Source organism: Homo sapiens, chromosome 2, assembly GCF_000001405.40.
Source record: "Homo sapiens chromosome 2, GRCh38.p14 Primary Assembly".
NCBI classification, from domain to species: Eukaryota; Metazoa; Chordata; class Mammalia; order Primates; family Hominidae; genus Homo; species Homo sapiens.
Window position 1 is genome coordinate 53,727,119 of NC_000002.12, and position 13,937 is coordinate 53,741,055.

Consider the following 13,937-nt stretch of genomic DNA (forward strand, 5'->3'; position numbering starts at 1 on the left):
TCTTTGACAAGGCACTTAAACATTCACAGTCTGGACTCTTAATCTAAAAACGATTATGTTTGAACAGATAATTTTGGGGATTCCTCTTAACTGTAAGATTTACAGACTCATTATTTATAACAGATGCCTTCAATTGGCACTTAATGAATGTTTGTTTCTTTTACTTCCTACTCTGACTTAAGTGTTTGAAGGTTTCTAAAAGAAAGCAAAAATAAGAAAAGATGTGCCCTGCTGTTTAAATAAACTGGATTATTGGGCAGGCACAGCGACTTACAGTGTAATCCCAGCACTTTGGGAGGCTGAGGCAGGAGGATCACTTGAGGTTGGGAGATTGAGACCACATGTCTTAAAAAAAAAAGGTTTTTTAATTAGCTGGGCATGGTGAAATGCACCTGTAATCGCAGCTATTTGGTAGGCTAAAGGGGCAAAATCGCTGGAGGTCAGGAGTTTAAGGTTACAATGAGCTGTGATCATACCACTATACTCTAGCCTGGGTGATGGAGCAAGGCCTGGCCTCAATCAATCAATAAACAAGCAAACAAACAAACTTTGTATGATCTATTTTCTATTTAAAGGAAGTTTATAAAAAGCCTGGGTTTTCTTTCTTTCTTTCTTTCTTTTTTTGGAGACAGAGTCTCCCTCTGTTGCCCAGGCTGGAGTGCAGTGGTACGATCTCAGCTCACTGCAACCTCTGCCTCCCAGGTTCAAGCAATTCTCATGTCTCAGCTTCCCTAGTAGTTGGGATTACAGGCACATGCCACCATGCCCAGCTAATTTTTGTATTTTCAGTAGAGATGGGGTTTCGCCATGTTGGCCAGGCTGGTCTCAAACTCCTGATCTCAAGTGATCTGCCCACCTTGGCCTCCCAAAGTGCTGGGATTACAGGCATGAGCAACCGTGCCTGGCCAAAAAAAGCCTAGGTATTTTTTTTTTAATTGCCTAGCCTACTGTGATTCACGCTTCATCAAGTTAGCACTGTGAAGAGCATATCTGGTGTTTGGGAGAGATTTAAAAGCCCCTGTAAAATAAACATTTCTGGTCACAAAATTGTCACTTAGAGTAAGAATGCCACCTGAACACACCAACTTCCCTGGCAATGCTGAATGTGGAAGGGTTGTCACAGAGAAACCTTTAGCAGGTTATGTTACTATTAACATAACAAAGTGTAAACCTGCTTTGAAATAAACCTATTTACATAATCACAAAATTAACATACCCCTCAGAGCCTTAATAAACAAAATAGCCATCTAATAAGGTAATTAAGCCTAAACTAGTCTTACACCCTAGAAAGTTGAAACTGCTCAAGTCCCTACAGGAAAGGACAGCCCCATCATTCAACTTGCCAATAAACCTGCTTTAGTGATAGATCATTATGTTCCTACTCAGATAAATTAGTAGCTGTGCACTGCATTGTTAGTAATAGATACTTAATAACCAGGTTTATAAATCAATTTGTATTTACTCTTATTTACCACTTACATAAAACCATAAATTTCACAACCTGATTTATATTTGAGACAAGAATTATTCCTCTAGGAAATATAGTTTAAAGCTCATGATCTTAACAGTACAAAGGCTAATGGATAATCTTACCCGATGAAATAAGTATGCTCAAGCTTTCTAGCTTGCCATACTGAGCAGCCACAAATAAAGGTGTGATTCCAAAGTCATCCTGGCATTCCTTGTTTGCTCCTTTTCTAAGAAGCAATTTTATGATCTCAGCATTTTCCTAAAGCACAGATTCACATTTTAAATAAGAAAAAAACAAAGAAAATAGAAGGTATCTTTCTTCTTACTGTGTTTTTTTTTTCTTTTTTATCCTCTCACTAAAGGATAACTTGAAGGAAAAAACAAAACAGTATACTGCTGTATTAGTTGGAAAGAAATTGGCCAAACGATCAGATTATCCTATATTTCTAGTTAACCCAATAAATGTAAACATGAAACACTGATCTCTAGGAATTATAAACCTTATAGAATCCTGAAAAATTAGCTTGCTAACCAAAGCACTAAGGAGCCATCACAATTTCTAAGCACATTATTGTAAATAAAATAACCCATTGCTCTTTATCAATTTATATCTCAAATAACTGATGGTTTCTTAAATATGCCATCTACATTTTTAAAATGTAGATAATCCCTATAGCCCAAAGCTTCCACAGCTACTACAGAAGTTGGCTGATTCAGAATCATCATTAGCATTTAGACTGCCTTTTCTGTACTGCACTAACCATCATAAATCACAGGCAAGCAGAAAGCAAAAACTGCATAGGACTGTCATTTTAAGAGGGTAAAACACACAATTTACATGGAAATGAAATAATAAATTCAGAGGTTACCTGAAAAGAAGCCTGGTGCAAGGAGTTCCATCCACACATAGAATGGGATCCATTAACATTTGCTCCGTGTTGAAGCAACAGCCTTAACACATCTATCTGTCCATTTTCAACAGCTGTAATACAGCAGTTAGAAAAATTAATGTCAGCAAAAAGGCATGTTTGTAGGACTGGACACTTTGGTGATGTTCTCATCACTTACTCACCTCAGAACCACAATGCTCTGATTATTCCTAAACAGTTATCACAATTGTCTTAGCCCAAATCCATTAACATATATCTAATTGTTTCTGAACACATGCAAAATGATTTTCAATAGCATGTTAAAAGACACAGAGGAACTGGAACCAAGAAGCAAACATTTATTCTCTCTGAAAATGGAAACAGCCTAGCTCTAGTTTGTTAAAATGAAACTGGGAGGATATAAGGTGGACAATTCAGAATCAACAGTACCAGTCTGGAAAAGCAATCTCAAAAGGACTGAAAGGTTTGCTATTACTACATTTGATCACAAATAAAAAGAGTAACTGACAAAATGAAAAAGCAACTTCTTCATCTTAGATTTTTTTTACCACTATAAATCATAAGCATTGTCAAAATGTTCTTATATCCATCAATGAAAATGTAAACGTTCTTACTTATGTGAACTAAAAGCGGATTCCAGAAAAAATAAAAAATGTTGTTAAAGAGATGCAGATTATTTTGCACAAAACTTTGCTATGAAGGTGGCACTAATTATGGAGGAATTTAAGCACGAAGTTAATGAAAAACAGAATGCCAGAATAGAATTACAAAGTGCTTTATAAAATAAGTACAAACACACACACACACCATTAGCAAATTAGGTATACTGTGAATGTTGTTAGGTGTGAGGCTACTGAGTGACTTCTTTAAATTTTAAGTTCAGAAACTTAAAATGGAGAAATAGTAGTATTTATAAGAAAGGAAGGTAAGACATGTATAAGAAGGTCTGGCTAACGTGCTTGGATGTAAGAAAGAAGATTTAAGTTGATTTCATGTCTTGGTGATTGTGAATGGTGCTGCAAGGAACATACGTGTGCATCCATCTTTACAGTAGAATGATTTCTATTCCTCTGGGTATATACCCAGTAACGGGATTGCTGGGTCAAATGGCAGTTGTGTTTAGCTCTCTGAGGAATCACCATACCGCTTTCCACAATGGTTGAATTAATGTACACTCCCATCAACTGTGTATACATGTTCCTTTTTCTCCTCAACCTCGCCAGCACCTGTTATTTTTTTACTTTTTAATACCAGCCATTCTTACTGCTGTGAGATGGTATCTCATCGTGGTTTTGATTAGTAAGAAAAAAGATTTGAAGAATAAGATTTTTTTTTCATTTCAATCATACAGTTATTCTGTATCTCCCACTATAGTAGGAGGCAGGAAGTGGGAATCAACACTTCTCAGTCACAAAATTAGAAAGGCACATTTGGATAATGAGTCACATTAGAAAACACTAATACACATGAAACAATGGGAATATAAAAATCCTTAAAAGTGTAAAACAAGAAATGATAAGCGTGCTTATTACTGAAGACAAGTAACATGCCATTGATATTGTACTAGTTTTATATATTGAATTTATACCAAAGCTTATTTCCCCTATAAGACACTCAGAAGTTCTTTAATAAAAAATTCTCCACCGAGTGTGGTGGCTCCCGCCTGTAATCCCAGCACTTTGGGAGGCTAAGGCGGGTGGACCACGAGTTCAGGAGATCGAGACCATCCTGGCTAACATGGTGAAACCCCGTCTCTACTAAAAATACAAAAAAATTAGCTGGGCATGGTGGCACGCACCTGTAATCCTAGCTACTTGAGAGGCTGAGGCAGGAGAATCGCTTAAACCTGGGAGGTGGAGGTTGCACTGCACTCCACCTGGGTTGCTGCACTGCACTCCAGCCTGGGCGACAGAGCAAGACTCCATCTCAAAAAACAAAACAAAACAAAACAAAAAACCAAAACTCTTACTCTGAAGGGTTTCAGAAATGTAACCAATGGCTGTGACAGTACCACTGAGGTAGGAATCTAACATAACTAAGTTAATATTCAAAAGCATTTACCATGGAAAAAACAGTTCTTCAAGCTATTTTTGTATAAACGATCTAAAGTCAATCTAATTTGGGGTGGCTCTCAGGTACCACATAAATATATACACTGACAGTATCCACGACAGTTTCTTTTTTCCTTTTTTTGAGACAAGCCTCGCTCTGTCGCCCAGGCTGGAATGCAATGGCGTGATCTCAGCTCACTACAACCTCTGCCTCCCAGGTTCAAGCAATTCTCCTGCCTCAGCCTCCCAAGTCGCTGGGATTACAGGCACCCGCAATCATGCTCGGCTACTTTTTGGTATTTTTGTAGAGATAGCGTCTCACCATGTTGGCCAGGGTGGTCCTGAACTCCTGACCTCAGGTGATCCACCAGCCTCGGCCTCCCAAAGTGCTGGGATTACAGGCGTGAGCCATCACACTTGGCCCCCACAACAGTTTGTTTTATTTTGAGATGGAGTCTCACTCTGTCACCCAGGCTGGAGTGCAGTGGCGCAAACTCGGCTTACTGCAACCTCCCTGTCCTGGGTTTCATGCGATTCTTCTGCCTCAACCTCCCGAGTAGCTGGGATTACAGGTGTGCACCACCATGTCTGGCTAATTTTTGTATTTTTAGTAGAGACAAGGTTTCACCATGTTGGCCAAGCTGGTCTCCAACTCCTGGCCTCAGGTGATCCACCTCCGCCTCAGCCTCCCAAAGTGCTGGGATTATAGGCATGAGCCACTGCACCTGGCCCCACAACAGCTTTAAAAAAATAACTGAAAATTAAAAAAAGCAAAATAAAGAAATTACAAATGAAATTACCATATTAAAAAAAAGCCTGAAAATAATAGTAATAATTTTGGGTGGAGGTCATAAAAGGAAAAAAATCTGTTTCATATCAAATTCATACATCATTATCAGTGACTGTTAGCAAAAATCATTCTATAGCCAGTCCATGACTTGAAGATTATCAGGTTGTCAACAGTGATATATGAAGGAGAGTGAAGGTAAGTTTGTTTTCCACAAGTTAGGCTGACCTTATAAAAATTAAAGTCAAAAAATGTGTTTTGATTATTAAATACAATATAGATGACAGAAAAATTTTCATTTTTTTAACCTTATGATGCAAGTTATGTTTTCACTTTTAATATCATAAATATATTAAGAAATCTGCTATCTGCAACTATTAAAAACATTTCCCAATGACAAAAGTAAAACTTACACATGAGCAGAAAAATATTATTTTCACAGCCCTTGTTAATTATTTCAAAATAAAGCAAATTTAATAGTTACTAATTGAGAAATCGTGGTTTAGAAAAGTGTATTTAGAGCTCAGATTTACTACCAAAGCCTCCGCTTTGGAAGAGGAGCATTCACTTTATCTATTAAAATGGAAATATCAAATTGGATGGGCTGAAGAGGAGACCCATAACTGTGCTGAATGGTTTGCTTCCAAAAAGGCAGTCATTACTTTATACAGACATACTTTCTCAAGCCTACTGAGAAAACCAAGTATAAGAGCATGTTTAGAAACTACCTAGCAAATAAAACAGACTTCACAGTCTTTTCTAAGAACAGAGTCAACCACTCACGTATCTATAAACATTGAGTACCTGTGAATTCCATGGAGATAGTGGGAATACAGATGAAATGGGAAGGATAGAGAAGGATATCAAAGTATAAAAAAGAGTGCTTCTGCCTTGAGAGCTATCTAGATGTAGAGAGAATGATACATGTCAGCAACAGCAAATTAACTCTATCCAATTGAAACAATGTTGCTAACAGGAATGAACTACACAATGACATTTTATATTATATTCTGTGTAGAAACTTGATTTACTTATTATTTTTTCCGTATCTCATGAGAAGAAGCAGGCTTCCTCCTTTTTAGAATTTCATCTGTGTCCTTTCCCTCAATTCCATACCTTCTCCACTTCCTTTTTTTTTTTTTTAAGATGGATTCTCACTCTGTCGCCCAAGCTCGACTGCAGTAGCACTATTTCGGCTCACAGCAACCTCTGTCTCCTGGGTTCAAGCGGTTCTCCTGCGTCAGCCTCCCGAGTAGCTGGGACTACCAGCATGTGACACCACACCCACCTAATTTTTGTATTTTTAGTAGAGACAGGGTTTCTCCATTTTGGCCAGGCTGGTCTTGAACTCCTGACCTCATATAATCCGCCCACCTTGGCCTCCCACCTCCTCCAATGCCGAGACCAGCTCGGTTGGGGAGACCCTAACCCAGTGGTGCTAGAGGAATTAAAGACACACACAGAGAAATACAGAGGTGTGGAGTGGGAAATCAGGGGTCTCACAGCCTTTGGAGCTGAAAGCCTTGAACAGAGATTTACCCACGTATTTATTAAGATCAAGCCAGTGATAAGCATTGTTTCTACAGATTATAGATTAACTAAAAGTATTCCTTATGGGAAACAAAGGGATGGGCGGAAATAAAGGGATGGGTTTGGCTAGTTATCTGCAGCAGGAGCATGTCCTTAAGGCACAGATCGGTCACGCTATTGTTTGTGGTTTAAGAACACCTTTAAGCAGTTTTCCGCCCTGGGTGGGCCAGGTGTCCCTTGCCCTCATTCCGGTAAACCCACATCCTTCCAGCGTGGGCGTTATGGCCATCACAAACATGTCACAGTGCTGCAGAGATTTTGTTTATGGCCAGTTTTCGGGCCAGTTTATGGCCACATTTTGGGGGGCCTGTTCCCAACACTCCACTTCGCAGTTTGTTCCTCATATTGTCTCTTCTCCAGTTTTTTCTCATCATTCCTTCTCTACTGGGCTCCACTGTTCAACCTGCAGACTAGTTTAGGTTTTCCTTTCCCTAAAAATAAAACAAACAAACAAAATATCTTCCAATCTACTGTTTTCTCTCACTTTCTTTTTTTACCACTGAACTACCCCCAAAGACTACTCTTCTTGAGTCTACATTCAGTGATCCCATTTTCCCACAAATCACTCATTCATTCATTCAACAAATGTCTACTTAGTGCCTATTATGTACCAGGTAATATTCCAGGTACTAGAGATACAGAAGTGAACAAGAGACAAAAATACCTGCCTCCATGGACCTTTTAATCACTTAATCAATAACTATCATGCAAATTCTACTGCCATAATTCATGTAAAGCTATTCCCTTGAAAATCATCATCAAATTCAATGGCCTTTTCTCAGCCTTGAACCTCCTATTCAGTTCCTACTGCCTCTGGCATTAAATTCCCCATATTTCTCTAACATAAACTTTTTTCTCCATGTCAACAGCACTGTTGTGGTGTTACAACTTTCTCTAACAACTCATTCTTCTTAGTTTAGTTGTTCTATCCTACTATTTCAGAAATGTGATGACTCACCAGGATTCTGTCTTCAATCTCTATTTATTTTTTTATTCCTTTACTTTATACAAGTTTTTTTTTTTTTTTTTTTGAGATGGAGTCTTGCTCTGTTGCCCAGGCTGGAGTGCAGTGGTGCGATCTTGGCTCACTACAACCTCCACCTCCCAGGTTGAAGCGAATCTCCTGCCTCAGCCTCCCTAGTAGCTAGGATTATAGACGTACACCTCCATGCCCAGATAATTTTTGTACTTTTAGTAGAGATGGTGTTTCACCATGTTAGTTAGGCTGGTCTTAAACTCCTGACCTCCAGTGACTAGCCTGCCTCGGCCTCCCAAAGTGCTGGGATTACACACATGAGCCACCACGCCCGGCCTATACATGTTCTCTATTAGTGAATTTGTTCAATTCTGAAACGTTACTGAGCAAATTCATCTCTAGGCGAATGATTGCTCCTAACTGAACTTTCCCTCATGGTCCAGAACCAAATTTCCAAATACCTGCCAAGTATTTCCATCCAGACATTCTATCAGCCCCTTAAAATCAACATGCCTAACACAGACCTGGAGGCATAAATTTAATAAAACATGCAAAACCTCTAAACTGTAAACTACAAAATACTACTGAGAAAAGCAAAGATCTAAAAAAAAAAAAAAAAGTAGAATACACCATGTTCATAGATATAAAGATTCACTATTTTAAAAATATCAATTCTCCCCAAAACAATCTAACGATTCAATGTGAGCCCAATCAAAATACCCAAAGGTGCTACAGGTATTGTCTTAATAGTTGGAAAAAAAAAAACAAAAACTGATTCATACAGATGGGAATGTAAAGGGCCAAATAAAGCCAAAAAAATCATGTAGAATAAAGCCAGAGGACTCATACAAGCAGCTATCAAAACTAATAAAGCTGGAATAATTAAGGTAGCATGGTATTGGCACAGGATAGAGAAAGAGACTAATAAAACAACTGAAACTGCAGAAACAGATACCTTCAACAAATGGTCACTTTTATGACAAAGGTGACAATGGTTTTGGGTCCACTGAATATCCATATGGGGAAAAAAATCTTCACCCCTGTCCCACACAATACCCAATTTCAGATGGATTGCGAATTAAATTCCAGATTGGATTTAGAAACAACAAACCTTCTAAAAAAAAAAAAAAAAGAAAGGAAAAATCTACAAACTGATCTTGGAATAGAAAAATAATTTTTAATCTTCATATTAAAAGCAATAAACATAAAGGTAAATAGTGATAAATTGGACCACGTTAAAATTAAGAACTCCTTAAATCAATAAAAAGATAAATTATTTTTAAAACATGAGAAAATTTGTGCAGGAACTTCACAAAGGAGGATATGCAAATAGCTAATAAAATACATGGAAAAGTACTCACCTTCTTGTCATTCCATTAGGGAAATGCAAATGAAAACCTCAGTGAGCACCCACAACACCACCCACCAGAATATTTAAAATGAAACACAGAGTAAGTATCCGGCAGGGATGTGGTAAAAGTGGAACTATCATATCCAGGTGGTGGTGACATAAATTAATAACCTTAAAATTGGAGGCCAGGTGCGGTGGCTCACGCCTGTAATCCCAGCACTTTGGGAGGCCGAGGCAGGCGGATCGCGAGGTCAGGAAATCGAGACCATCCTGGCTAACACGGTGAAACCCTGTCTCTACTAAAAATACAAAAATATTAGCCAGGCATGTTGGCGGGCGCCTGTAGTCCCAACTACTTGGGAGGCCGAGGCAGGAGAATGGTGTGAACCCAGGAGGCGGAGCTTGCAGTGAGCCGAAATCGCGCCACTACACTCCAGCCTGGGCGACAGAGTGAGATTCCATCTCAGAAAAAAAAAAAAAAAATTGAGTAGGGCACAGTGGCTCATACCTGTAACCCCAGCACTTTGGGAGACCAAGGTGAGCAGATCACCTGAGGTCAGGAATTCCTGACCAACATGTTTAAACCCAGTCTCTATTAAAATACAAAATTAGCCAGGTGTGGTGGTGCATGCCTGTAGTCCCAAGTACACTGAGGCACAAGAATCACTTCAACCCAGGAAGCGGAGGTTGCAGTGAGCCGAGATCATGCAACAGCACTCCAGCCTAGGCAACAGAGCAAGACTCTGTCTCAAAAAAGAAAAAAATATGTCTAAAAGAAGATATTGATTTCTCTTTTTAAGATTCCCTCGCCAAATTGAATAAGCTTCAGAATTATACTTTGGGATATGACAGTATAACTGGTACTAAACTAGCCATCCATCCAAAACAATCATAAGAGTGGACAAAATATATAAGGTAACTTACTCGGGTATTAATCAACAGGCAGACAACTGTGATTCCCGAGAGAAGTGAAACACAAGAGATGAGCCCATGATCACCCCAGCTCTGTACCTGGGGACATTTCCCCGTTACGGTACAGTGAGCTGAAGTCCAAGTAGAGCAACAGTAAGGTTGGGAAAGGTGTACTCCAACCAGAGGAAAGAGGCTCAAGTGCAGTAGTAAACTGAGGAGACAGAGATTAGAATTTAAGTGGTTGAAATCTGCAGGTAAGGCCCTAGAGAAGAGTGAATTGTGCAGACAGGAGGCCTCTGTGTGGAAGTTGCCCAAGGGTCCTTGGTTCAAGCGTAGGTTGCACATGTACAAGGTAAGGCAAATAAAAACTGCTTAAGGGTCAAGAATGGAACAGAAATAATTAGAAGTCAAACACTACTGAGGGGCCATGGAACTCCTAAGACTTCTGGCTAAGTCAGAGTGATGAGACCATACTATTCCAAAAGAATGGAGATCAATCCTGGGTACTTGTGAGAGGAAGGGGAAGGATGTCTCCAAGCTTTTGTGTATGTGAAATTGTCCAGGACGTTTTAAAAAAGGAAAAAAAAAAAAAAAAAAAAGACTGCCACAAATTCTGAAGGGAATTTCAAAACGAAAATTTCGAGAACACTTTGAATATCTAAAATATTCCTAATGTGCATATAGTATACCCTGAATTTTTTAAAACACATCAGAATAAAAATCAAACTGAACACTGTCCTATTTACTCAATAATACTAAAGTGTATATTAATTGAAAAATGATTTAAAACCTAAAGAAACAGGGAGAGAGAAGAGACAAGAAATAGATAAATCCACAGCAGAATAACAACACAGTAATTAGGACAGAACTAAGCTTCATATACTGTGTACCTCTTATGGTATTTATTACAGCCTATCTTGAATTCTGGTTATTATAATATCCTCAATTAAATTGTAAGCCCATGATATCAGGAACTAAGCCTGATAGTGTAGAGGCCTGATAATCACCTAATCAATGGAGGATAATGAGAAAAATTCAGTTGTGACTTTTACCATCCTATTGATAAGCAAAACTAGTTGGCTAAGCTGGTGTTTCTTTGCTCCTTCGCCTTTTTATGTGAGACCCATCTAGGACCACATGTTAGGGCAAAGGAGATAAATATTTCAAAAATAAAACAGGACTACTGTTCAGTTAAGGATGTATGAAGAACTGCACTCATTCTGTTGCTCTCTAGAACTGTTCTCCAATATAGAAGACAGAAGCTTCATTTGGCTGTTTAAATTTTAATTTTAATTAATTAAAATGGAATAAAATTAAAATTTGAGTTCTTCAATCAAACCAGACAAACTTCAAGTGTTCAAGAGCCCCATGTGGCTAGTGACCATCATAAGGGACAATGTAGATATAGGACAATTCCAAGTTCTATTGGGTAGGACTGGTCTAGAGATTAGAATTGAATTGAATTGAAATTTAACCTAGAATACTAGGTATACCTGTCTTCAAGATACCCATTTAGCATTGGAAACAGAGAGCCAGGCGATCAGCTGCAGGTCTTGGAGTAAGTGTCAAAGACAGAAAGATAAGGTGTAATTCTAGAAGCTAGAAAAGTACTGTGGGTTCCTAGAAAGAAAAAGAAAGCAGAATCATAGTATCTGGTATTAAAAAATGGTATCCAATAGGGACCAGAGACCAAGGAAAAAGATTAAGGATGAAATAAAAGACCGCATTTCAGAAGGCAGAGCTCCAAGTGTCTGGAGTACACAGAGATATGGGAGAAAGACTTTCCCCTCTTCAATCCAAACAGGTAAGACTCCAAACAGGTAGAAGAGAAAAGCCAGAACCTCTGAGGGTAGGAACACTGCTTTTCCCACAATGGATCATATAACATAGTATGGAAGAAATCTCTAATTGTAAATGCTTAAGAAAGCAAAAATGGCATGAGAACATATCCTGCAATAATTTCTAGGGAGACATTTTCTGGTTTTGAAAAAACACCTTTTTCCATTTCCTAAATTAGAGGAAAAATGAAGCAATCTGGAAAAACATATCTTAGGTAACAAAATATTTTTGAAAACAGGAAATTGAGAAACTAGAAGCAGCCTTTGACCCACACAAAACTTTTGACCAAAATCAACTCAGTTGTGGCATGCAACATATTGAGTACAGTTACAAGCAAAGCCCCATGTGAAGATTTCATGAAAGCAAGAACTCAAAACGGGACTCTCATCTGGGAGAAATATGGTAGACCTATACATACATGTAAGTACTAAATCTAACTAGAAATAGTAAATAATGATCATTGTTTAATATAGCATTCATTAAAGAAAAAGCTTTTTTAAGGGACATTTTTTAAATGTAATTATCTTAGTGAATGCTCTTTTAGAAAAATGCTTAATGTGACTATGAGTTCTAGGGAATTACCATAACAATTCTGTACAAATTACAATTATAAACACAATTTTGTACCAAATGAAAATTACAGTGAGTTTTATCTCTATTAGCTAGAAAATATACTGTTTCATTTTTTTGTTTGTTTTGTTTTGTTCTTAAGATAGGGTCTGGCTCTGTTACCCACGATGGAGGACAGTGGCACATTCACGGCTCACTGCAGCCTCAACTTCCTGGGCTCAAGCGATGCTCCCACCTCAACCTCATGAGTAGCTGGGATTACAGGCATGCACCACCCACACAGCTCATTTTCCATTTTTTGTAGAGACAAGGTCTTGCTATGTTGCCTAGGCTGGTCTTGAACTCATGGGCTCAAGTGATCCTCCCACTTCAGCCTCCCAAAATGTTGAGATTATAGGCATAAGCCACCACACCCAGCCTAGTCTTTCATTTTGAGGCTCAGATTTTGACAATAATTCTAAAAAATGACATGGTCAGTAAGTCTGTAACGAAAAGTTTAACCACAGGCTGTCCATCTCCTCCAGTTATAGCAGCAGGCTGGCTGGCTATGCAGAAATCATCTATATATTCAATTTTACATTTGAATTATATATGAATTTTTAATGGTATCTCTACTTTTTTGAGTTCTACATGTACTCTGTTCTCCATTATGCATTTCATTTTTCTATACAATTGAACAGTAAAATTATTTTTTCATTGTATAGCTAGTTTATGTAAAACTTTTTTCCCCCACCTCTTTCATGAACCAAAAAAGGAACATTTGTAAGAACATTTATCTCCTGCAGTATTTCTCTGGTCCTGTGTTCATACTGACATCTGGTGGCACTAGAAAAGAAACTCCATTATTGCTATGACAAAGGAATTTTTTTTTCCAGTGTTGTCCATTTATTCTATGTATCCTCAAGTTTATGTTTTTCCAGCACTTTACTTATACCCAAGGCAGCAGAACAATTATTAAAATCTTTAGTCTGAAATGTAGTATTTTATTGATATACAGAATTTTTTAAAAATTATACTAAAAAGTTATATTTCTGTTTTATAAATTTCTTCATGTCTGCCCAGTGGCTAACAATCTTAAAGATGCATACTGATGGGAAAAACCATGATCTTCTGGGCAAAACTCATTATGTTAGGGATATAACAAAAACGTTGTGGCGAATATCCCAATCCAATCATCCACGTTATCACTGACATTTCTCATGGTTTCTAACAGACAGGGAGAAGTCTAATGGCCAATTAGACATCAGAGACCATATCCAGAAAAATACATCCTTCAATCAAATGAAAGTATTAAAAGACAAAAAGCTAAAATTCCACTATCCTATTATATATTGTTTATTTTTCCGTATGTCTCCCCAGCAGCAGAGTCAAGAAACATTTGATTTAGATAACACATCCCTAAACTTACACCTTCTTCTAGGGCTATAACACTGTAATTCTACTACTTTCAGAAATTATTCAACTTTTTGAAGCATTCATACAGCAGTATTCTCCTTACTAG

General features: G+C 38.0%; 2 protein-coding genes across 4 annotated transcripts in view; both read right to left on the bottom strand.

Moving 5' to 3' along the window:
• ASB3 (ankyrin repeat and SOCS box containing 3) overlaps positions 1–13,937 on the bottom strand; it is a 116,974-nt gene that overhangs the window by 57,139 nt on the left and 45,898 nt on the right. For all 3 annotated transcript variants that reach the window (NM_145863.3, NM_016115.5, NM_001201965.2), the window contains 2 exons: positions 2,340–2,452; positions 1,594–1,729 (listed from right to left, as the gene is read on the bottom strand). In NM_145863.3, the coding sequence (NP_665862.1) occupies positions 1,594–1,729; positions 2,340–2,452 (249 nt within the window). The remainder of the gene's footprint in view (positions 1–1,593; positions 1,730–2,339; positions 2,453–13,937) is intronic.
• Positions 1–13,937, bottom strand: part of GPR75-ASB3 (GPR75-ASB3 readthrough) — a 189,675-nt gene that overhangs the window by 56,826 nt on the left and 118,912 nt on the right. Inside the window, exons 4-5 of the mRNA NM_001164165.2 lie at positions 2,340–2,452; positions 1,594–1,729 (exon numbers count right to left, since the gene is read on the bottom strand). Coding sequence (NP_001157637.1) covers positions 1,594–1,729; positions 2,340–2,452 — 249 coding nt within the window. The remainder of the gene's footprint in view (positions 1–1,593; positions 1,730–2,339; positions 2,453–13,937) is intronic.